This window comes from Homo sapiens, chromosome 22 (assembly GCF_000001405.40).
Source record: "Homo sapiens chromosome 22, GRCh38.p14 Primary Assembly".
In the NCBI taxonomy this organism is placed as follows: domain Eukaryota; kingdom Metazoa; phylum Chordata; class Mammalia; order Primates; family Hominidae; genus Homo; species Homo sapiens.
In genome coordinates this window covers 20603094-20628081 of record NC_000022.11, presented here as the reverse complement: position 1 = coordinate 20628081, position 24988 = coordinate 20603094, and the positions used below count along the sequence as shown (strand labels likewise).

Here is a 24988-nt window from a genome sequence, read left to right as displayed (position 1 = left end):
CAGGTGTGAGCCACTGCACCCGGCCTGCCCTTTACATTTTTGCTATAATTTTAGAATCAGCTTGTCAATTTTTACCAAACCTACTGGAATTTTGGATGCTAAATTGGCTCACAATGAAGTTAAAAACCAAATAAGAATGAATCCATTGCCAAATCCAAGATCTTGAAAATGTAATTCCATGTTTTTTGTTTAGAGTTTAACAGTTTTAGTGTTTATACTTAGGGCTTTGACCTATTGTGACTTAATTTTTGTATATGGTGTGATGTAGGGGTCCAGCTTCATCCTTTTGCATGTGGATATCCAGTTCTCCCAGCACCATTCTTCAAAGAAATGAGTGTTTTCCCCACTGAATGGTCTTGTACCTAAGTTTTTACTCAGCTCGGTGAAAACGTGCTCTCACTGATGAGGCTGATAAGGTTTTGTCTTGAATTGGGACCTGGGAATAGTGCTGGTAATTTGGAGATGACATGAACATTTATTTGGGGCTACCCCAGTGCTCTCTGCTGGTTGAGCAACTGCGCCATCCAGCCAGTTGGAAGGTTTGTAATGAGGGAGCTGAATGAGACAGAGACGAGAAGAAAGGGCGAAAGTGGAAGAACTGCATCAAGAATTCAGGAGTGAAGAGGGAGCAATTCTCCTGAACATTCCATGAAATAATCTAAATAAAACCACCTAGTACCAAGCCTGCCCTGTAGGAGATGCTTGGTGATGTTCTGGTTGTCTTTGAGTCAAGATGGAGTCCATCTGGGTCGGAAAGATAAAATGACAATCTTGCTGAAGTTTTTCTCCATCCGAGGTGGAAGTGAGATTTCCCACTCATGCTCTCCAGCGCTTGGACTTGCTTTTGGGACCAGCTCTGATGAACCTGTGTACACTGAGTTGCAAGTGATGGACAATAGCTCAGACCAACAGTCCACAGGTGAGTTGCAAGTAACCCCAAGGTGTTAATGGCTGTTCCTTGGCAGAAAGAGTTCAATGTGTTTATGAAGCATCACATACCACATTCCCCTCCTGGGGACTGACAGTGTGTGTGGTGTATAGAGCAAGTCCTGGCATACAGCAAGTGCTGTACAAGCATTACCAAGGATTCAGTACCACAGACTTGGCTCTGAAGCTGGCCACTGTGGGCTGCATGCGAATGGTGTTTCTGTAAAATGTGGGAATTGCTGGCCGGGCGTGGTGGCTCACGCCTGTAATCCCAGTACTTTGGGAGGCTGAGGCAAGTAGATCACTTGAGCCCTGGAGCTGAAGACCAGCCTGGGCAACATGATGTAACCACATCTCTACAACAAATATAAAAATTAGCAGGGCCTGGTGGTGTGTGCCTGTAGTCCCAGCTATTTGGGAGGCTGAAGCAGGAGGATCGCTTGAGCTTAGGAGTCTGAGGTTGCAGTGAGCTATGATCATACCACTGCACTCCAGCCTGAGTGGGAAAGCAAGACCCTGTCTCTACAAATAAATAAAGAAGACATGAGAATCGATAATGTAATGCATGTTGAGTTACACAAATGTTCTCCTGGGCATTGTGAAACTATGTAATATTTTGTTAGGGCCAGGTGCAGTGGTTTACACCTGTAATCCCAGCACTTAAGAGGCCAAGGCAGGAGGGCCAGTGGAGGCCAGGAATTTGAAACTAGCCTGGGCAACATAGCGAGACCCTGTCTCTACAAAAAAGAAAATAAGAAGAAAATTAGCCAGGCATGGTGGTGTGTGCCTGTAGTTCCAGCTACTCAGGAGGCTCAGGGGGAAGGATTGCTTGAACCCAGGAGTTTGAGGTTGCAGTGAGCTATGATCGTGCTATTGCATTCTCTCCTGGGCAACAGAATGAGACCCTGTCTCTAGAAAAATAAAAAGATTCTGCTGTGCTGCAGATGTTGAGATTTTGTCTCTGTTTTTCCACAGTGGTTTGCTAAGAAGGCCATTTTCAACTCTCCACTGGAGGCTTTTATGGCGTTCCCTCACCTGCAGCGGCCCAGCTTTCTACTGGTAAATATCAGCTGTCTGGATGAGTGTCAGTGTGGCCACAGCTCTGTAGCTGTGGGACTTGAATGTTCTTCCCATTGACTTGAAGAATTCTCTAGTGGTTGTCTTTTAGGAGCGTGTGATGGAAGCAATGCCAGACTCCTTAAGCTTGACTGTGCCCCCTTATTACTACAGGGCCTTGGGGTTACTCAACCGCTGGGCTCTGGGCTCTGGGTTTTCCCATACAAGACAAATTCATTCAAGTTCTATTTTCTCTACTTCCCAAGGGGGTATGAGGAGGAGGAGGGGGAGGAGCAAATGAGAATGATGTACATCAGAGTGTTCATGATCTGTAAGTTCTTAAACAGACATGAAACATTCTGATAATCATAATTGTCATTAGTGAAAAATGGAGACACTCTTATGTTCTGAGGGGGTGCTAGGTTAGCACTTTAACTATTAAACATGGTGCTGAGAACTGGGTGTAATGGTCCGTATCTGTAGTTCTAACTACTAAGGACACCGAGGAAGGAGGATTACTTGAGCCCAGGAGTTTTAAGACCAGCCTGAGCAACACAGTAAGACTCAAAAAAAAAAAAAAGAAAAAATGATACTGAGAAGCGAGAAGTTAGGTATGAGCAAGTATTGGTGATGAAAGTTCCTAATTTTAGTTCTTAGGAGGTATTTTTGTAAATATGTATGTGGAAGGACGTTCCTCCCCAGGGCACCCCACTAGAGCCACCAGGTCTGCCACATGGCCAGACAACTCAGGTCTCCATCTCTTGTCTCAAATCCTGTGAAATCCACCCTCATTTGGAGGTAGACAAGGCATTTGGAGGTAGACAGATTCTAGCAGTTTCTCCTGATGTGAGTCCATTTGCACAGACGCTATTTTTATCCTTGTAGTCAGGATGCTTTCCGTATATCCCACGACTGTGGGTAGATTTTATTAGTCCTTGTCCTGAGTCTTTTCTGGCCTCTCCATTGCCTTTATGTTTAGTGTTTACTTGGTGCAAGCCATCTATAATTTTTACCTGCCTTGTGTGTGTGTGTGTGTGTTTTGTTGTTGTTGTTTTGCTTTGTTTTATTTTTTTTTTTTTTGAGACGGAGTTTCTCTCTGTCGCCCAGGCTGGAGTGCAGTGGTGCGATCTCAGTTCACTGCAACCTCTGCCTCTCAGGTTCAAGCGATTCTCCTGCCTCAGCCTCCAGAGTAGCTGGAATTACAGGCATGCACCACCAAGCCCGGCTAATTTTTTTGTGTTTTTTTAATAGAGACAAGGTTTCACCATTTTGGCCAGGCTAGTCTTGAACTCCTGACCTTGTGATTTGCCCACTTTGGCCTCCCAAAGTGCTGGGATTACAGGCGTGAGCCACCACGCCCGGCCCTGCCCTGTGTTTTAAGGTCATTGGTTTAGTAGGTTCACTGTCTGCTGAATAAAAGACAGCTCAGTTAAGAGAGGATGCTGTAGCCCTGATTTTGTTGGGCATTCTTACTGATGATCACAACTGTGTAATCATGATGGTCCATCAGGTGGGAAATTTCCATTTGATGCGTACGAACTCAGTAGTACTCTGTGGTCTGTGAGAGGTGCCCTTACACAATCGAGATCCTCTTCTGGCTCTGGGGCTGACCCTGGGGCCAACCCCTACTTATGGATTGGTGGAAGTCAGTCCTGTTCTGATGATGAGCAGCACGCTGAGTTGGTACTGGGAAGCAAGCCTGAGAGTTCCTGGTCCAGAGTGCATAGAACCACAGCCTCTCCTAGTAGCATCCTTTGGGCCACTGACACACATGAGGGGCTGGGGAATCACGCCAGTGGTTATGTGTCTGACTCATAACCTATCACTTGGATTTCTGTTTGACTCAAGCCAGAGTATCACTAAAAGCTGCAGTGAATGTCCTCATGATTTTTTCACTTTGTTCTACCTTCTAGGCTACCCTGAAAGCTGACTCTGTAAATAAGCCCTTTGCACAGTGATGCCAAGACTTGGTTAAAGTCATTGAGGATTTTCCAGCAGAGGTATAGCTCTGCTGACATCTCTCTTTGGAGCATGTCTTACACATTCCTTTAAAAACTTTATTATAATTCCTAATTCCCCCCACCACCCCCACTCCAAGCACTGCCTGGCACAGAGTCCTGGCCCATTATCATGACCGTCATGTTTATGGACACATTTAAATATGTGAACTTGCAGATCAGGAGTTCTTAACCACAGGTGCTCTGTCCCTCAGGGGACACTTGGCAATATCAGAGACATTTTTGATTATCACAACTGGGGGTGATGGGGAGTGTGTGCTACTGGCATCTAGTAAGTAGGGGCCAGGGATGCTGGAAACATCCTGCAAAGCACAGGACAGCTCCCTGCAACAAAGAAGAATCCAGCCCAAAATGTCAATAGCATCAACGTTGAGGAACCCTGATGTAAATGCTAAAAATATGTATTTAAATCACACCTGGAATTGTCAAGCCCAGGAAGCTGGCCTAGACAAGGAGTTAATACCAAATGACAACAGGTCAGTTAGATTTTAAGGGCTTCACTCTGGGAAGGGTGTTGCTTTCCTTTCTAATAGAGCATCCTTCGCATCCATCAGAAGTTTCTGACATTAAAAAAAAAATCTTTTGGTGTGGTGGCTCATGCCTGTAATCTCAACACTTTGGGAGGCTGAGGTGGGAGGATCACTTAAGGCCAGGAGTTTGAGACCAGTCTGGGCAACATACTGGGACCCTATCTCTACAAGAAATCTAAAAATTAGCTGAGCGTGGTGGTGTGTGCCCACAGTCCCAGCTACTCAGGAGGCTAAGGCAGGAGGATTGCTTGAGGCCAGGAGGCCAAGGCTGCAGTGAGCTGTGCATTGCGCCAGTGTACTCCAGACAGGGCAACAGAATGAGACCCTGTCTCAAAAGAATAGGTATTTTGTTTATTTTATTTTATTTTTCATTTTTTCATTTTTTTGTTTTTTTTTTCCCTTAATTTAGGCTTTTATCACACACAAAAAATGTATTTTGATCAGAGGCTGACTTACTTAACTGGCCCACGTCTAAAGCAGCACTGCTTGGTAAGCCACGTACCCCAGTGAAAGAACCCAAAGCTGCTCTTCTCATTGGCATCACCGCACCAGGGTTCCTTTGAGCGCAGGGCTGATCCCATGGGTCTCAGCCAGGGAGTGGCCTCCTCAGAGGGAGCTGGGCAGCAGGTGGTGCAGGCCTGGAGCTGGGGCAGGAGTGGGTGCTGGTCCTGCCTGCAGCCTCACCGCACACTGTTTCAGGAGCTGCACGCCATCTCCCCATGGCTGGTAGCATTTTCGGCAGCCTGGATGGTGTCCTTGTGGGCTGGAACCTGCGCTGCTTACAGAGGCGCGTGAATCCTGTGAAGTACAGCATGGTGATGGAATTTCTCGACCCTGGGAAGGTAGGTTTGACACCCGAGAGAGGCAGGGTGCTTCCTCATGGTGATTCCACTTTTAAGTCACTCTCAATTTCTTAAGGTTAAGATACAATCAAAGCAAGATAATTTGCAGTTCATATACCCTGTTTTTGTTTGTTCAATTTCATGTTCAGCGGCCCAATGATGAAGTTGGTTTATAAGCTTCAAGCTGAAGACTTAAGTTTGACTTTCCCATCTCCTACCTGCCCATAAGTAAACCACAGTGGTGAGAGTGGTGCTCGGGCAGTGGACCTTGCACAGCCCAGTGGTGACGGGCAGTCTCCTCCGGTCCTCTGAGGGCAAATTAAGGAGTGATTTGCTCCGGGGGTATGAGAGGCAAAGGAGATGGGTATTGCATGGCTGCTACCCTTGCCATCTGCAGCTTTTTTTTTTTTTTAGGCAAAGTCTCACTCTGTTGCCAGGCTGGAGTGCAGTGGCACGATCTCGGCTCACCACAACCTCCGCCTCCTGGGTTCAAGCAATTCTTCAGCCTCAGCCTCCCAAGTAACTGGGACTACAGATGCATGCCACCATGCCCGGCTAATTTTTGTATTTTTTTTTTAGTAGAGATGGGGTTTCACTATATTGGCCAAGTTGGTCTGGAACTCCTGACCTTGTGATCTGCCCACCTCGGCCTCCCAAAGTGCTGGGATTACAGGCGTGAGCCACCATACCTGGCCTGTCTGCAGCTTTTTATGAGATGGTGGAAGTTCTGAGCAAAGACTCTTGTTGAGGCACTGCTCAGGAGCAGGGCACTGTCCCCACAGGTGAGTTCTGTGTGCGGGTCTCTTCCCCAGCAGCTTTCCCAAAGGGCTGCTGTGCATGTGGGGCACTGCGTACCGGGCACTACACGCCAGTGCCTGCCCACAAGCCTTGCTGCCTCTCTCTGCAGGGTCTCGTGAAGGCATCCATCCAGGAGTGCGTCCTTGACAGTCCTCTGTAACACAAGATCCAGTTCCGCCCAACTAAGGGCCTTGGCCTGAACCTGGCCTTGAGTATCCTTTGGTGGCCTTGAGGTAGGAAGGTTGTGGGTGGCTCAGCTCTCAACACTGGGGGTTTCCCAGCAACCCTGTGTATTTGCCCTTGACGCTGCCATCAGATCCGTTCGAGTATTACATATGCTTCTTTGCCTTGAGCCTCAACACACTAAAGGTAGGGAAGGGATGCCTCTTGCTGGGAGGGGTGGGGGCATGGCCCGGGGCTTCCCTGCACTTGCCAGTGCTCTGGGGCCAGGCAGTGCCCAGACCCCATGCTAAGAACTAGCTTGGTTTTCCAGCCACTCCCTGTGTCTCTCCATGTCCATATTTCAGACTGTACCTATTTCCTCCTGGTGGACAGGTACCTGTCATGGTTCCTGCCCACCAAAGGCAGCCTGCCACCACCCTCACTGTCCTCCAGCCCAGGATGGGCCAGTCCCTCACCTGCTCCCAGGTAAGGCTACCCTGATTGTGAAGACCTGGCCCTTCCATAAGGGAGTGGCCTGGTCAGTTGAATCACCCACCAGGACAATGGTGCCACCCTTTGTCCAGGGTTCCCAAATTTGTCTTATGCCTCATTCCCCACCTCCAGCTTTCTTAGCACAGACTGGAGGGTGGGGGTGAGGAGGGTGATCTGTCCTTTAGTTTTCGATGTCTGTGGCCATCACTGAAGCTATCAGGTCTCTGGAGGCCTCCACGGCCTGCATGGGAATGGGCTGTGTTCTGCATGAAGCAGCCCTCCCCACATGCAGTGTCTGAGGTGGTGAGCATGGCAGAAGGCTTGTTCTATGGGGGAAAAAAAAATGGAAATCTCTCTGGGCCCCAGGACCAGGTCTTGAAGGGGAGGCCCTGGGCCAAAGAGCCTGTGTGTCAGTCCAAACAAGCTGAGCCTGTTGGTGACTGCACAGGTGGGAAGTGTGAACCAGGGGCTCTTGTGCCTAGCTGTGCTGGGGTCTCAGTGGGCCCTAACCCAGGGCCTCTTGGCTGACTTCCCAGGAGACCCTCTGGGGACCTCCCAGGAGACCCTCTGCACAGGCAGCAGCTGCCTGTGCTCCTCTGACCCTCCTTAATCTTGCTGCCCCATCGCCTTCCCTGGGAGGCTGCGTGCAGGCCCCTTCCTGCAGATGCTGGCCCACCCCAGATCTGCTGGCATGTGCAAGCCAGGACAGGCCTCTACCTACAATTCACATGTGTGGACAGATGCCCCAGAGGGTGGAGGGGAGAAAGGGAGCAGCAAGGAGGAGAGGCTGCCTGGGTGGCGGCAGTGGTCAGTGACCCTGAAATGTTGCTGATGCTGTGGAGGACTTGGAGGTGAGGTGGATTCACACCCTCTCAGATGTACAATTCAGTTGCCAAGTGGTTTTTATGCCCAGCTTTTGAGTTTTTTTGTAATTTAATTTTTTCTTTTAGAAATTATATATATATAATGTGTGTATATATACACATTTATGTTATATATATGTGTGTGTATAATATATATATGTGTATATATACACACACATATATATATTGGAAACAGAGTCTTGCTCAATTGCCCAGGCTGGAGGGCAGTATTGTGATCACAGCTCACTGCAACCTCCACCTCCCAGGTTCAAGTGATGTTCCTGTCTCAGTCTCCTGAGTAGCTGGGATTACAGGTGTGCAACACCACATCCAGCTTGTATTTTTTGTAAGATGGGTCTCGCTATGTTGCCCAGGCTGGTCTAGAACTCCTGGGCTCAAATGATCCTCCTGCCTCAGCCTCCCAAGGTGCAGGGATTGCAGGCATGAGCCACCACATTCAGTCATTATGTCTTTTTAAAGACAGGGTCTTACTCTGTCACACAGGCTGGAGTGCAGCGGCACAGTCGTCACTCACTGCAGCCTTAAATTCCTGGGCTCAAGTCATCCTCTCACCTCAGTGACTACAGGCACGCATCACCACAGCCAGATAATTTTAAAACATTTTTTTTTTGTAGAGATATGACAGGGGAGGCTTGCTGTGTTGCCCTGGTGGGTCTTGAACTCCTAGCTTCCACAATCCTTTATTGGCCCCAGGAGCAGGTCTTGAGAGGGGGAGGCCCTGGGCCAAAGAGCCTGTTGTGCCAGACCAAACAGGCTGAGCCTGATGCCATACTGCACGGATTGGGAGGGTGAACCTGCCTCAGCTTCCCAAGTAGCTGGGATTACAGGCGCAGGCCACCACACCTAGCTAACTTTTTATTTTGAAATAACTTCAGACTTACAGAAAAGTTTCCACGCATAATAAAAAGAACTTGCAGACTGGGCATGGTGGCTTACTCCTGTAATCCCAACACTTAGGGAGGCCAAGGCAGAAAGATCACTTGAGGCCAGGAATTTGAGACCAGTGTGGGCAACATAGGGAGACCTCATTTCTACAAAAAATAAAATCAGCTGAGTATGGTGACGTGCAACTGTGGACCAAGCTACTCAGGAGACTGAGGTGGGAGGATCTCTTGTGCACTCTTCAAGGCTATAGTTAGCTATGATTGCGCCACTGCACTCTAGCCTGGGGTGACACAAGAAGACCCTGTTTCAGAAAAAAAAAAAAAGTTCATAGACCCTTCATCCAGATTTCCAAATTAACACTTTGCTGCATCTGCTTTATCCCCTTTCTATGATATGTTTTTTCTCCCCTAAGCCAATAAGAATAAACTACAGGTAGGACACCCCTTGGCCTCTTAATATGTCAGTGTATTTCCTAAAAGTGAATGCATTATCTTATATAGTCACAGTGCGTGTGCTCCTCTGACCCTCCTTAATCTTGCTGCCCCATTGCCTTCCCCAGGAGGCTGCATACAGGCCCGTTTCTGCAGATGCTGGCCCACCCCAGATCTGCTGGCATGTGCAAGCCAGCACATGCCACCACACCAGGAAGTTAGTATTGCCACCAGGCTACACCTAGTCATCAGACCTCGGGGTTCACCACCAGCTACCCCACTCATGCCCGTTACCTGGCTGGGTTTCAGCACAGGCTCACCCACTGCATGCAGTGATGTTTCTAGTCCCCTTCAGTCCGGAATGGTTCTGCAGCCTGTCTGTCTTTCCTGACCTTGACCCCTCCAAAGCATGTGGCCACCCCTTGGGCTGTCTTGTATTTGCTGGTGATTAGGCATAGCTTGGGCTTTGTTGGCAGGAGCACTGCAGCGGGGACACCTGGTCCTTGCCAGGTGTCTCATCAGGAGGCCTGCAGTGCCCCTTTGCCCCATCACTGGTGATGCTAGCTTTATCACTGGGTGGAAAGGGTGTCGGCCAGGTTTGTCCACTGTAAAATAAGTACTTCGTGCCCAGATTAAATAGTAATGAGGCTGAGTGCAGTGGTTCACGCCTGGAATCCCAGCACTTAGGGAGGCCAAGGTGGGTGGATCACCTGAGCTCAGGAGTTTGAGACCAGCCTGGGCAACATAGCAAAATCCTATCTCTACCAAAAATTTTAAAATTAGCCTGGCGTGGTGGCATGCGCCTGTAATCCCAGCTACTTAGAGGCTGAGGTGGGGGGATCACTCAAGCCCAGGAGGCAGAGGTTGCATTGAGCCAAGATCATGCTGTTGCACTCCAGCCTGGGCTACAGAGTGAGAGCCCATCTCAAAAAAAAAAAAATTAGTAATGAGTGCCTGGACAACATAGCAAGACCTTGTTTGTACTAAAAAGAAAAATATTGGCCAGGCACAATGGCTCATGCCTGTAATCCCAGCACTTTGGGAGGCCAAGGCAGGCATATCACGATGTCAGGAGATCGAGACCATCCTGGTCAACACGGTGAAACCCCATCTCTACTAAAAATACAAAAATTAGCTGGGTGTGGTGGTGCACGCCTGTAATCCCAGCACTTTAGGAGGCAGAGGCGGGCAGATCATGAGGTCAGGAGTTCAAGACCAGGCTGAGAAACATGGTGACACCCCGTCTCTACTAAAAATACAAAAAATTAGCCAGGCGTGGTGGTGCATGCCTGTAGTCCCAGCTACTAACGAGGCTGAGGCAGGAGAATCGCTTGAACTTGGGAGGCAGAGATTGCAGTAAGCCGAGATGGAGCCACTGCACTCCAGCCTGGTAACAGAGTGAGAGTCTGTCTCAAAAAAAAAACAAAAACAAAAAACAAAGAAAGAAAAACATTAGCCAGGCATGCAGGCATGGTGGTGTGCACTGTGGTCCCAGCTACTTGGGAGGCCCGGGTCTAGGAGGTTGAGGTTGCAGTGAGCTGTGATCACAGCACTGCACTCCAGCCCAGGCAACAGAATGAGACCCTGTCTCAAAAAAAAGAAAAATTGGTAATGATGATTTACCGGGAAGATGTATAGAGACTATGTATTATCACTAGTATTAACATCAACTGTTGATTCTTTTCTCTTTTTTTTTAAGTGAAAGCAAGTTTATTAAGAAAGTAAAGGAATAGAAGAAGGGCTACTCCATACACAGAGAAGTCGATTCTTTCCTTTTTTCAAATTGATTTTATTTTACTTTAAGACAGGATCTTGTTCTCTCACCCCAGGCTGAAGTACAGTGGCATGATCTAGGCTCACGGCAGCCTCAATCTCTTAGGCTCAAGTGATCCTCCTGCCTCAGCCTCCCAAGTATCTGGGACTACAGGCATGCATCACCACATCTGAATGCTTTTTTTTTTTTTTAATAGAGATGGGTTTTGCCCATGTTGCCCAAGCTGGACATCTTATTTTTTTTAGAAACAGAGTCTCGCTCTGTCACCCCAGGCTGGAGTGCAGTTGGTGCCATCATAGGTCACTGCAGCCTCAACTCCTAGGCCCAAGGAGGGAGCCATTTTCCCTTCTCAGCCTTCTAAGTAGTTAGGACTACAGGCACACCCCACCGTGCCCAGCTATTTCATGTTTTAATGTTTTTGTAGAGACGGGGTCTCACTGTGTTGCCCAGGCTGGTCTCAAGTGCCTGGCCTCAAGAGATCCTCCTGCCTTGGTTTCCCAAAGTGCTGAGATTTCAGGCGTCTCACGCAGGTCCCATGCCTGGCCTCACTTGATTCTTGACCAAATAAGCTATTAATAGGGCAGTTGCCAAGTGGTGGTTCCCTAACTTCATTCTTCCTGTATTGGGTCAGTGGTCGCTCTGCGGGAAGGAAGACTTTTCTCTTTGCTATTTGTTTATTCAGGTGTATCAGTGTGGATTTGGGGCAGGGGTGAGGTTTGTGCATTGTGCAATTGAACAAGTTGTAATACGTCCCTGCTGTCATTGATTTTGATGTCCAGATCGCCCCTGGCCTGGCCAGCAGGAGCTCCTACCTTGGGCCTGTTTCCGTGTCTCCCTCAGGACACCAGCCATGCCCTTTGCTTCCTGTAGCCTCCAGCACACTAGCCCCCTGAAGCGACACTTCTCTCATCAGATGTCTGTGAATGCAGACCCCGCCTCCCAGGAGATCTGGAGGTCAGAAACTCTGCTCCGGGTGAGAGCTGAGCTGGTCTCAACGTCTGTTTCAAAAGAAACTGGTCAGCCATCTTCCACTATATGGGTCAGAGTCCCAGAGGCGGCCGCTTAGCCCAGGGCTGATTCTAAATTGTTGGCATTTTCCTGGTATGACATTTAGAAAACATGAATATAAGTCTGCCCACCCACCTAACTTACTTGTCATTCATGGTGTTTTTCATCCCAGGATCCCCTGTCCATCGGAGTCGTTTCATTTGCCCATTGTGATATAATTGTTGCGGTCTCTTGGTGTCCGTCTCTCGTGTTGCTGGAGATGCTTCCTATGATTACCATCATGTGGATATTAAGCGTTGCCCCAGTAGCACTTTTGTGACACGGAATGGTGAGGGGTTTGTGCAGCCTCCACAGGCCTTCTGTTGATTCAGGGGATCCAAATAGTAGGTGACAGAGTCCCTTGTCTGTCCTGGGGGGCTCCAGCCTCTCACGATGGTGTGGACTGGCTCACTCCCTGAGTGCTATCCACCAGGTCCTGGCTGTGTCTTCTGAGCATAACTTGGAGAGATTTGGCAGGTGCTGCTCCTGACACTGGATCCTAGGACTGACTTGGTAGCCACAGCCTCGCCGTTGACACCTGGGAAGTAGATAAGATAGGATTCTGTCTCCGACCTTGTACATAACTCCTAATATGTGGGGTGCCGTGCTTTTTGAAGCCTCCACACCATTTCACAACAACCTCGGGTGCTAGAATGATAGGGACCATTGTCCCTGGGAGGGGCATGGTCCCCAGAGGGGACCATGATACCCAGATGGCTCTTGGCTGTGTGGACCATGGGATGTGCTGGCTGTGAAGAGGGCAGGAGACCATGACACAAGCTTACAACAGGACAGAACTGGAAGGTTCTGCTGTTTCCTGGACCAAAGCATTAATGCTTTTCGTTTTTTTAATTAAGAAAAAAACTGTAATTGTAAAATATACATAACATAAAATTTACTGTCTTAACCATTTCCAAGTGTACAGCCAGTAGTATTAAATACATTCACGTTGTTGTTATCTGTAGCACACAGTACTTCTTTGTGTGTGACTGGCATGCTTCAGTTAGCATAATGGATTCAAGATTAATCCGTGTTACAGCATGTGTCAGAATTTGCTTCCTTTCCAATCTCCAGAATCTTGCAAAACTGAAACTGAACCGACCAGGCATGAGAGCTCACTCCTGTAATCCTAGCACTTTGGGAGACCAAGGTGGGAAAGATTGCTTGAGGCCAGGAGTTTGAGACCAGCCTCGCCAACATAGTGACACCCCGTCTCTCTCTCTCTTTTTTTTTTTTTTTTTTTTTTTTTTTTGAGACAGAGTCTCACTCTGTCGCTTAGGCTGGAGTGCAGTGGTGCGATCTCAGCTCACTGCAATCCCTGCCTCCCGGGTTCAAGTGATTCTCCTGCCTCAGCCTCTTGAGTAGCTGGGATTACAGGCACCTGCCACGGTGCCTAGCTAATTTTTATATTTTTAGTAAAGACGGGGTTTCACCATCTTGGCCAGGCTGGTCTTGAATTTCTGACTTCATGATGCACCCGCCTCGGCCTCCCAAAGTGCTGGGATTACAGGCATGAGCCACCATGCCTGGCTCCCCATCTCTTTTAATAAAAAAAAAGAAACTGAACAATTAATTCCCCACGCAGCCCCTAGCAACCACTATTCTGCTTTCTGTTTCTATATGTTTGACTCCTAGATCTCATATCTAAAGCATTTTTCTGTAGCACACAGTACTTCTTTGTGTGTGACTGGCATGCTTCACTTAGCATAATGGATTCGAGATTAATCCATGTTACAGCATGTGTCAGAATTTGCTTCCTTTTTAAGGCTGCATAGTGTTCCCTTGTGCGGATGTACCATGTTGTGTTTATCTATTCATCTCTCAGTGAACACTGGAGTTGCTTCTATTTTTATTTTATTATTTATTTATTTATTTATTTTGAGACAGGGTCTCGCTCTGTTTCCCAGGCTGGAGTGCAGTGGCATGATCTTGGCTCACTACAGCTCAAATTCCTGGGCTCAGGCGATCCTCCCACCTCAGACTCCCAGTAGCTGGGACTATGGCTGTGCCCCACCACACCCAGCAAATTTTTGTGCTTTTTGTGGAGACAACTTTTTGCTATGTTGCCCAGGCTGGTCTTGAACTCCCGGCCTCAAGCCATCCACCTGCCTCGGCCTCCCAAAGCACTGGGATGACAGGCCTGAGCCATCATGCCCGCTGGTTCTTTTCACTCTATCAGTAGTATCTTTTGATGCTGTATTTTTTTGCTTGTTGCTTGTGATTTGGGCATCATATCTAATAAATCATTGCCAAATCCAGTGTTATGAAGCTTTCTCCCATGTTTTCTTCTGTAAGTTTATGGTCTTAGTTCTTATCCTCAGGCCGCTTACCCACTTTGAGTTAGTTTTTGTCGATGGTGTGAGGGCAGGGCCCAGCTTCACTGTTCTGCATGAGGGTGTTCTGTGTTCCCAGCTCTGCTTATGGGAGACACTGTCCTTTCCCCACTGAATGGTCTTGGCAGTTATCGAGAATGATTTGACTACGTAATGCTCTTTTGCAGGTTTTTGTCGAAATGTGGCTTCAACACTATTCTCTGGAGATGTACCAAAAAATGCAGTTCCCCTCATGCCAAGGTAGGTTTCCATAGTTTTTCTTCCCACCTCCTGCTTCTGACCATGCTCAGCCTGCTGCTTCTTATCCTGCATTTGAGTGAGTTTTCACAGACCGGATGGTGGGAAGCAGAAATCCACCACCCACCCTTCATTCAGAAGCTGAATAAGAAGTGGGCATAGTTCTCTAGTTCCCGATGAGGAGCAGGTGGCATTGCACCCTGATATGTGGACACTGAGGCCTGGAGGTCTGGCCTCTCCAGGGCCTTTCCTGTGCAGCTTCCGGAGCCCCCTCCCTGGCAACAGGAACAGATGAGGTTGTGGCACTTTTGCTGTGGGGGTGGGGGAGCTGCAATGCCTCTGGGAGCCGCGTTCTCGTCTGTCTCCTCCACCATCAGCAGTGCCTTTGTGCTTTCCCATGAAGTGATGGCCCAGGGCAGACCCATGCCCACCATAGTGGCACCATAGTTAGCCTCCTTTGTCTGCCCCCCACTCCCCCACCTCCTCCAGAGCATGAGCAAGCCGCCATACTCATGGTGTGTGGGGCCTGGCGCCCTCCTACAAGCAGCCTGGCCTGCTTCCTCCCCCTCCGCCTCGCCTCTCCCCACTCTCTCTCTAGGCAGCATGCCCTGGGCACACATCCTGTAGTCCGGTGCCCGTGGCGTCTATGCATGGGAGACTTTGCCTTTATTGCTGACAAAGTTCCAGAAGGCTTCATCCAGAATGAAGGATCTGTGGGTGATGGAGTTAAACTTCAGAAGAGCCTCCTGTCACTTTTCCTCCGGTTCTGGAGAAGAGCTGTGGGTCTGTTTCTGCCACAGCCTCTGCAGCCAGTTCTGTGGCCCCATGCTTTGCCATGTGAAGGCTCTCTCAGAGCATAGGTTCCCCCAAATCCTCACCCTCAGCATCACCTGGAAGGAGCACAAGGAAAAGTTGGGGACCCCATCTTGGGCCTCCTGAGTCACAAAGAGCCTGCAGTGCCCTTCCCGCTTCCAGAGCAGACTTACTGCATATGCCTGGCTGGTGCCTGGGGGGCTGGTTGGTTCCTAGGGCCCCGCTTCTCCCTGGCGCCCTAGAACACTTGCTCAGCGCTCTTGCATGTGGCTTGACCTGGCAGGGGCAGGGGCCGCTGCACTGTGTCACCTTCCTATCTGCTGGTTCTGCCTACTGAGTGAGTGGAAACACACCTACTTTCAAGGGCAAGCCAGAAAGGCTCTTCTGGGCTGTCACCTGTGAGGATTCTGTGTCCTCATGGGTCAGGGGAACTGGCAAGGCGTCGTCCCTGCAGAGGGCAGGAGGTGCCTTTCCCCTCTTCTCAATGTTCGCTTCCTCTTGGCCAGACCTTGGGTTGCGTGAGTCCTGCTCAGAATGACTTGCAGTGGTGGGACGAAGTGCCCAGAGATGCTCCACTTTTTGCCTCTTCCAGTTGAGGCAAAAAACAAAACGTGAGAAAACTGGGTGGGTGGGGGTCAGAGAAAGGCAGCTGTGGAGGTCGGGGCCCCCAAGGCCCCTGGCCCTTTGCCGCTTGCCCAGGCCTATGCTGCTCCTGCCATACAGAAATCCCTGCCTGTCTCTGCTAGCTCTTATTTTCAGATGCAGGAAGTGAGGCTCCCAGGGTTGCCCTCCACACCCTGGTTGAATCCGAGGTGCATGCTTGCTCCCTGGTGGCCCCGTGGGCCATAAAGATGGCCAATGGCCCCACAAGCCACCGTGTTCCTTAGGCAAGGGCAGAGACGCACTGGAGAACTGTGTGTCTGTTTCCTGCCTGAGCCCTAGGTCTGGCACAGAGGAAGGCTGTGAAGGGCAACATCTCTCTGCCCTGCTCCTTCCCGCCCTGCTCTGCGTGTTGTGACATCTAGCAGGTGTGTTCTGATGTCTCCTGTGTGGAGCCCAGTGGTCGTGCTACTTGGGCAGGAGGCATGGCGCTCACGGGGCAGGATATGCACCAGGCCAGCTCTGGCTATGCTGGGCCGAAGGGGTGCTTCGGAGGCTGCAGCGCTGCAGGGTGGTAGATTGGAGGGTCCTGGCTGGGGGCCAGCTTAGCCTCAGTTTCCTGTTGCCTCTGGGTGTGTGTGGCTGTGGCCAGGTCCTCGGGGGCTCCTGCCCTTGGGAGCCCTCCATATCTGGAGGGTGGGAGTTCCTGATGCGGTAGGAGAGGTTGCCTCCTGGAGTCAGAGCTGATGCACACACCACCTCGGCTGACCTCCAGGCTGGGGGAGTGCGGAGGGCAGGGCCTGGGGGCCTGAGCCTGTGCTACCCTTGGGGACCTGTCCTCATCCTCAGCTCTCAGAGAGATCCACTCATGGAGGGGACATTGATTGGGTTTTAGACATAGGAATTGATCATGTCATATACAAATTTGATAAATTTCTCAAAACAACCCAGGGAAATCCAGTCAATTACATATGTGTCTTCTCTAGGCAGAGTCCTCCTCCTAGAACATGCTTTGCCAGTTTATTTTCTGGGCCTCAGGATCTTGAGGCCTTGGTGGCTGACAGCATGTCCCAGAGAGAAGGCCCTGGGTACTTGAAGGGCTGTGGTGTGCACATGGCACACACGGTGTGGCCTCAGAGTCACTGGGGAGAGCGGGTCCCATCTGGAAGGGCAGTGAGTTGGGCCCTTCCAATGAGCTGGAGAGGCCTTTAGGCCCCAGCGACATTGAGAGGCCACCCAGGTGACCTGGAGGGTCTATCCGCCCCCAGCCTCCAAGGCTGAGGAGAGTGCTGTCACAGCTCTGGCCTGGCTGCCGAGGAGGGTGCTGCGCTGGTCACAGCTGCTGGGACTGCAGTTGTTTGGATGGTCACTGACCATGCTTTTGTTGTTTTTTTCTCCTCACTTCTGGGCTCGTTCTCATTGCTTTCTTTCTCCACTTCCCCCTCCCATGTCCGGTACCATGTCTCTCCTTCACCACCCTGTCCTCTCATGCTTTTCTCTTCTGCCTCTTCCGGCTTCTCTCTGTTCACTCTCTCAGCTGGAGGTGCTGCACTACCGACTCTGTGTCTCCAGTGCCCACCACAGCCCCCGGCAGCCCAACCTCCAGGCCCTCCACACCTACCAAGTACTGGCTGTGCTCGTTCATTCCCTTCCCCTGCCCGGAGTGCGTGTCTGCGCCTGGCAAAGCAAGGGGCTGGCTGGGCCCAGCTGCAGGTGACTCAGAGGCTAGTTTCAGGCAGAGTGAAGCCCCTGTGTTGAGGGAGGCAGAGATCAGCCTCCAGCCTGGCCTGGCCCCTGGCTTTGCAGACTAGCCTGGCTTGTGGGAGTGGGGTGTGGCTGTGTGTCAGAATGAGGCATGTGGCCTGGGCTGGCCAGACTCCCCACCAGTGGTGGAGGTGTCACAAGTTCTCTGGTGTTGGAGGCTCTGTGCTCGGCCCTGGTTTGAAGAGCTGGAGTCGTGAGGCCTCTGCAGTGGCCCGGTTCACCCCCACTCTGCAGGGCCCAGTGCTAAGGAAGGAGCTGAAGACACAGAGGCCTGGGACTTACGGTAATGTGGGTGCTGCCCTGTTCAGAACTGTCATCCAGCTTGGAGGTTCCATGACCCAGACTGTGTGTGAGGCAAGGGGGTTGGGGAGGACCTGGGGCTTGGCCCTATAGCTCACAGAGGCTGTCAGTCCTTCACCTAGGGAGCCCTGGCCACTCGTAGACACCTGTGGAGGTGGATGAGAATAGGTAGTGACCTCATAGAGGTTGTGGTCTGCCTAGGCACAAATGACAAGCGTATGGATGGATTTGAGGTCAGTGAAGCAGAGTTCAGGCCCATGGGGGATTTCGGGGACGACAGAGTTAGTGAGTCTGTGAGAGCCCGGGGAGACGAGCTGTGCCCACAGCCAGGGGTCTGTCCCGTTCACCCTGCGAAGGAGCACACGTGATTGAATGGGAATTTGAGCGCAAGATGAAAAAAACATGTGGGCCCCAAGTGCCGGTGGGTTGGGATGGCAACCACTGCATGTGATGGCGTCCCTGTTCCGCAGGAGCCACTGGAGAAGAGGGACATGAGGGCTTGGGCCAGGGCAGTGTCCAGGAAGCATCTAGCAACCCCCATGGCAGGACAGGTGACCAGGGAGACCCTGGAGGAGTGAGCTGAGGTGCTGTGAGGCTGGGCCCAGTGGGAAATGCGGGGCTTTGGGTACACATCTTTGAGAAGCAAGCAGGTGTGACTGTGGCCAGGGACTACACATGGGAATGTGGCCCAGGAGGGGTACAGAGCTGAGGGAAAAGTTTGGCTCAGCAAATCTGTGGGAAAATAGCCTGAGAGGCTTTCATGTGACTGCTGGGGGCAGGGGCAGACACTGGCCCCTCCAGACCCTCTGGAAGGACCAGGTGATGTTGGGTAAGTGAACCTGCAGGGGAAGGCAGGTTCCCAGTTCCTATGTGGATGCTGTCCCCTCCCGTGAGCTGCAGGGAGGATGTCATGGCTCAGGATCCCAGGCCAGGATCAGAGGGAGGGCCAGGGGTGAGACTGGAGGAGAAGGACCCTGGTCTAACTTCCCACCCCACTAGTACCATTCTAGTCGGGCCGTATAGGTACTGGTTTTCTCCTTCCTTCCAAAGCAATGCAAATTCATTGCCTAAATACTTAAAGATAGAGATAGAAGAAAATAGCCAGGTACGGTGGCTCAAACTTGGAATCCCAGAACTTTGGGAGGCCAAGGAAGGCAGATTGCTTGAGCTCAGGAGTTTGAGACCAGCCTGGGAAACATGATGAGACCCCTGCCTCTACAAAAAAATAGAAAAATTATCTGGGTATGTTGGTATGTGCCTCTGGTCTCCGCTACTCGGGAGGCTTTGGTGGGAGGATCCCTTGAGCCCAGGAGGCAGAGGTTACAGTGAACCGACATTGTGCTGCTGCACTCCAGCCTGGGTGACAGAGTGAGACCCTGTCTCAAAAAAAAAAAAAAAAAGAAAAAGAAGAAGAAGAAAATACCTCCATTCCCAGCCTCAGCCACTGATCTGTGGGGTGTGTCTCCTGGACCTGTGGGGACATTTTCCTGACGGGCAGACTTGAGTGGGCAGTGATGTGAGCAGTGGTCCATGTGGGTTCTGCAGCATCCCAGGATATACCCAGAGGCCGGGCCCTGCACCAGTCTCAGCATCACAGATGTGTTGAGGCCCAAAGGGCTGGGGGTAAGCATGGAGAGGCGAGCATGTCCACTCGGACTCAGGGGCCCACCCTCAGTGCCCCCTTCTCCTGCCCTCATCCACTCTTGATGCTCCCCCCTGCCCTCTCAATGCTGAGCAACCAGAGAAAGCCCACAGCCAGCAAAAAGGCTTTCCTCTTGGGTGTAGGTCTCCAGGATCCTGCTTGTACATTGTAAATCAAAAGCTTGGCCTGTTAGCTTGACTGTGCTCTTGTCTTGGGGTTTTCCTGACCACAGGTCTGTGGGCAACAGAGGAATTGATGCCCAGCGCTTCTCCCAGGGTGAGCCCTCATCCAGCTGTGTCCAGAATGAGGAGCAGATGGAAGGAATTGGGGAGAAAAGTGAAGGTTCTTATTTTTTGAACAGGGTCTTACTCTGTCACCCAGGCTGGAGTGCAGTGGCACGATCCTAGCTCACTGCACCAAGAACACCTGGGCTCAAGCGATCTTCCCACCCTAGCCTCCTGAGTCACTAGGACTACAGGTGCACACCACCATGCCCAGCTAACTTTTTAAAATTTTTGTAGAGACAGGGCCTCCCTATGTTGCCCAAGCGAATCTCGAATTCCTGGCCTTAGCCATCTTCCCTGGGAGACCCTGGATCCAGAGCTTGGGGGTGACATCGGCCTCCTCCTGCCATGAGGATCAAGATAGGCAGCAATGGCCAAGGGCACAGTCTGGCGGGCCATAGCCCTGTGCCACCCACCGCGGGTGTGCAGCGGTGCAGAAGCAGATGCGTCTGTCTCAGCGAGTTCTCCCCAGGTAGGCTGTGTGGGCGCTGGGCCAAGCACTTCCCTACCACGAGCTGGTCGCAGTTCAGACCAAGCAGTGCAAGGCACACCCGCTGGGTGTGAGGCACAGTGGTGGCCCCACTCTTTGCCTGGCTCGTGCCTCCTGTGTGGAGGCAGATCAGCTGTCCCAGGGCGGGCTGTGGTCAGACCTGGAGGCCACGTGCTGCAGCCCTTCCCAGGCCCTGACTCCTCTTCCTCCACCTAGGAGTCGTTCATGCCCACCAAGGGGCACATGCTGGTGGTGCGCCTGCCACTGAAGCACCTGCACGCCTTTGCCGACAGCCTGAAGCCAGAGCAGGTCTCACCTTTCGTCCACTCCCACACCACCAGCCCGCTGGGGGAGTTCAAACAGTGGGTGGCCCTTGCGGCTTCCAGCCGCTGCTGTCTCCTCCTCGTTCCCCTCCTCCGGTGTTGCCCACGGCGACCTCTCCCCGGGGCATGGGGGGCAGGGTGAGGGGAATCCCTTCCTGCTCACAGAGCACGTGAGGCCTCTGGAGGGCTACGCAAGTGCCTTCTCAGCTAGCCTGGTGGGGCTGCCGGCTGATCTCTGGCTCCCAGAGCCTCTCTCTCCAGACTGGCCAAAAAGGCCCCATCACGGTGCCGTCTCTTGCTCCTCCCCACCCGTCAGGAGAAGGGTTGGGGCGGGTCCTGACTCCCAGGCCCATCGGGGCTGGCAGAGTGGGCTGTTTTGTGTGGGGCTGAGGTGAGGTGTGTGCAGGAGATGCAATGGCTTGGCCGCCTGCATGCTGTGTCCTCGGGATGCTCCCTAACCTCGGTTTCTTCCTCTGAAGAATGGGGCTGAAACCAGCTCTTACCACTCAGAAGTGCCTAGTGCTCTCTCCCAGCAGAGCCAACCCTCACTAATGGGAACCCCGGGCTCATCTGTGAGCAGGGCCACCTTACTGTGCAAGCGGCTGGTGACCCTCCCCTCCTCTGCAGGCCGCTGTCCCGAGGTTAGTCCAGCAGAAACTCTACCTCTTCCTGCGGCATTGCTTTGGCCACTGGCCCTTGGACGCATTGTTCAGAGCTAGGAGTGTCGGCCCCATCACATGTGTGCCTGTGTCTTCTGTGTGCCCCAATGAGGGAGGTCCCCTGGGGTGGATGAAGGAGAACAAGTGTTGTCACAGAGACCTTGGAGAGGAGGGGGCCTTGGAGGGCCACGTTGTTCTTTCTGTTTCAGTTTCCAAAGGCAACCCTCAGGCACAGCAAAGCCCTGCCCCATCCCACCTGTCTGGTGCCAGACAGGTTTCTACTCTTACGCAACCAGGTAGCACTGGGTCCCGTGGGCCGGGAAGAGCCCGCCCATGACCCTGGCTTCTGAAGAGCAGTGAGAGAACCAAATCTCACAGGGCTGTGCGCGTCTCTCCTGCGCCCTCTGGGGGACGTGGGAAGAGCCAACTTAGCTGCCACCTGGGTACCTGGGTTCCAGGCCATCAGAGGATTTGGCCCCAGCCACTGGGCCTTCAGCACACACCTCCCCCACAGGTCCTGGAGGTGTGGCTGAGCTACCTGCAGCCATGGTGGTATGCAGCTGACAAGCAGGCTGCCAGCAGCAACTCCCAGCCCCAGTGTGTCTGAGAAATGGTGAGCCCTGGCCCCCTCTCCTCACATGCCACTGGCTCCCCTGGGCAAATGTTGCTCCAGTGGGTGGAGGCCAAGACAGCGGCCTGTGCTGGGGTCAGCCTGGCCCTGGCCCTCTCCCAGCTGCTGCTGAGTGGAGCACAGACCAGCCCTTCCTAGGCTCAACTTCGCCAGGCCCTAGAATGGGTTTCTCATGGAAGCAGTGGGTGACCTGTCCCCTCTCCCTTCTGGCCCAGACAAATTTTCATGGTGACCCCCAAACTGTTCCTTAACCCTTCCTTACCAGCACAGAGCAGACCAGTGGCCACCTTCCCCTCATCTCCTGCTTGATCCTCACAGCAGACCCCCCCAGGCTTCCATGGCACCTGGCGTGGCCACTGACCTCTCCTTTCCTTGCCCGAGGCCTTCCCCTTTGGACCCTCTGGGGGATCCTCCCTCAGCCCCCTCAGGCTCTGGGCTGGCCTCTGCCATGGTGGCTTCAGTCCTCTTGGAAAGGGGCCTCAGGCCTGCTAAGGATGCAGCAACCTCAGAGGGCCTGGGTCTCACCTGCCTGTGTCCTGCCCTCCCTGCCTGCCAACAGTCTCCTGAGCTGTCATCCATAACACTGCACAGTTAAGGCTGAGACCGGCTGGACCCTGCCTGCCCTGCAGCCACCAGGCACCAGGCACTGGGTGGAAGACCGCAGGTATACCCACAGAGGGGGTCTGCACAGACCAAGCTGCGGGCCCATGGCACCACAGTTTCTCCCTGGCAACTCGTGGCAGCATCCTTGGGAGGCGGTCTTGGTCTCTGGCATGCGTTTGTCTTGGCTGGGTTGGACATTGGCTTCTGTCACTCCTCCTGGTGTTTGCCCTCCTGCAGACACTGTCGGGGGCTCTGTGAGCCACCAGCTCCCTCATTTGCCCTCCCCATGTCGGCCACCTGCTACATGGGAGACACTGCTGGGCAGGACCTCAGGAGGACACCCCTGGGTCATGGCTCCCCAGATACCTCGGAGGCATCCTGAAAACCTGTGGGCAGCAACCAGGTTCTCTGTGCCCCCGGAAGTGGGCGCTAGGTTCGTCTCCTGCCTTCCAGTTCGAGCAGCTGTTCCCGGAGCCGGAGCTCGTCATCCCCCTACCGCCAGCACCGACTCTTCACAGCCTGCACATTCGCCAGCAGCATCCTGTCATAGTGGCCACCAGTGGTCACTGATGCCTCCTTCAATGTGAAGAGTCACATCTATGGCCTGGAGGGCCAGGACTGCAAGTACACCCGATGTTCGGGCCCGAGGCTTACACCCTGGTGAGTGGGTTGGCGGTGCCCCTTCACAGGACCCCTGGAGCCACAAGGCTGAGCAGAGGCAGGGAAGTGCTGTGTTCTGGCGGGAGGGAGGGAGGTTGGGCGGAGAGTTGACGCACATCTCCTTTCCCCGTTTCAGTAAAGTCTGATTTGTTTCTGATAACGAAGGCAGTGTTGGGAAATTTCACATTTAGAAGATCATTCTTTAGTCTTTAAAAGTCCTCCAGCAGAAGCTGCTCCTCCCGTCACTCAGTGATCTGGCTGTGCACCCATCTTAGGGCCCCCAGCCAGCCTGCCTGGGTGGCAGTACAGGCGTATCCTGCCGGTGACCTGCCCTCGCCTCCCTTGCAGGTCCTGCACCTTACTCAGCTCATCACGCAGGCCAAGCACACGGCCAGGTCCATCTCGGACCAGTGTGTGGAGACTCCAGCTGGCCACTCCTTCCTGTTGTGGCTGGGCTTTGGCCCCACAGACACCAACGGCTCCTATTCAGCCATGACCTGGGCGAGATGGGGCAGGACAGCGTCCAGAAGATGGACGAGTGCCTGGAGGAGGCCCTGGCGTACCTGCGCCAGATATTCCGAGTATGAGCAATGGGGCCTGTTCCACGGCCGTTAGGGTCCCCTTCCCCGAAGGATCCACTCCCCCTTTGCCCATGGTCAGCATGCATCCGTCCCAGGCCCCATGCAGATGAACCCGGTGTTGTGGGAGGCAGGCCCACACCCCGAGTGTCATGTCCGGGTGCTCTCGTTGCCACTGTTAGAGGCTGGTGGGGTGAAGACTGGTGTTCCTTTGCCTTGACACTGAGGGCAGAGGAGCTTCTCTCTCTCTGGTAGCTCAGTGAAGTGCAGCTCACGCAGAGTCTCTCACACTTGCCTTGGACACCATCCAGGATGAGAATGGAAAGAAGCAGCTCCGGACTGCATCGCGGGTGAGGACAGACTCATCCCCACGCCCCTGGGCCAGTACCAGGTGAGAGGCCCAAGTCCCAGAGGTGCATGGGTTGGGCCCTGACGTGTCCCCAGCTCCCTCCTCCCCTGTGAGCAGAGATGGCTTGGCTCTTCTGAGTTGTGTGCAGGGGCCATGTTTCCTTTTCTCTTCTTTCTTTTTTTTGAAACAAGGTTTCCCTCTCTTGCCCAGGCTGGAGTGCAGTGGCATGATCTTGGCTCACTGAAACTTCCACCTCCTGGGTTCAAGCGATTCTCCCACCTCAGCCTCCTGAATAGCTGGGATTACAGGCACATGCCACCATGCCTGGCTAACTTTTTTTTTTTTTTGAGACGGAGTCTTGCTCTGTAGCCCAGGCTGGAGTGCAGTGGCGCAATCTCGGCTCACTGCAAGCTCCACCTCCTGGGTTCACGCTATTCTCCTGCCTCAGCCTCCTGAGTAGCTGGAACTACAGGTGCCCGCCACCAAGCCCAGCTAATTTTTTTTTGTATTTTTTTTAGTAGAGACGGGGTTTCGCAGTGTTAGCCAGGATGGTCCTGATCTCCCGACCTCGTGATCCACCTGCCTCAGCCTCCCAGAGTGCTGGGATTACAGGTGTGAGCCACTGCACCTGGCCAATTTTTGTATTTTTAATAGAGACGGGGTTTCATCATATCGATCAGGCTGGTCTCTAACTCCCGACCTTGTGATCCGCCCGCCTCGGCCTCCCGGAGTGCTGGGATTACAGGCATGAGCCACTGCACCTGGCCAGGGCCATGTTTTCTGGCCCAACCCTATAGCCTGGGTTTCTAGATCATCAACAGGCTGCAAAGGTTTGAAATTGAGTACCAGGGGGACCCGGAGCTGCAGCCCCTCTGG

At 52.5% G+C, this 24988-nt stretch overlaps 1 pseudogene, besides 1 other annotated feature; it reads left to right on the top strand.

Annotated features, from left to right (window-relative positions):
• Nucleotides 1897–23187, top strand: SMPD4P1 (sphingomyelin phosphodiesterase 4 pseudogene 1; annotated as a pseudogene).
• Nucleotides 17081–17679: an enhancer, noted in NCBI's record as "H3K4me1 hESC enhancer chr22:20964690-20965288 (GRCh37/hg19 assembly coordinates)". NCBI's record gives its function as "activates a minimal SCP1, AML or CMV promoter by ChIP-STARR-seq in naive H9 embryonic stem cells {active_cell/tissue: H9 hESC(naive)}" and the evidence as "EXISTENCE:reporter gene assay evidence [ECO:0000049][PMID:30033119]".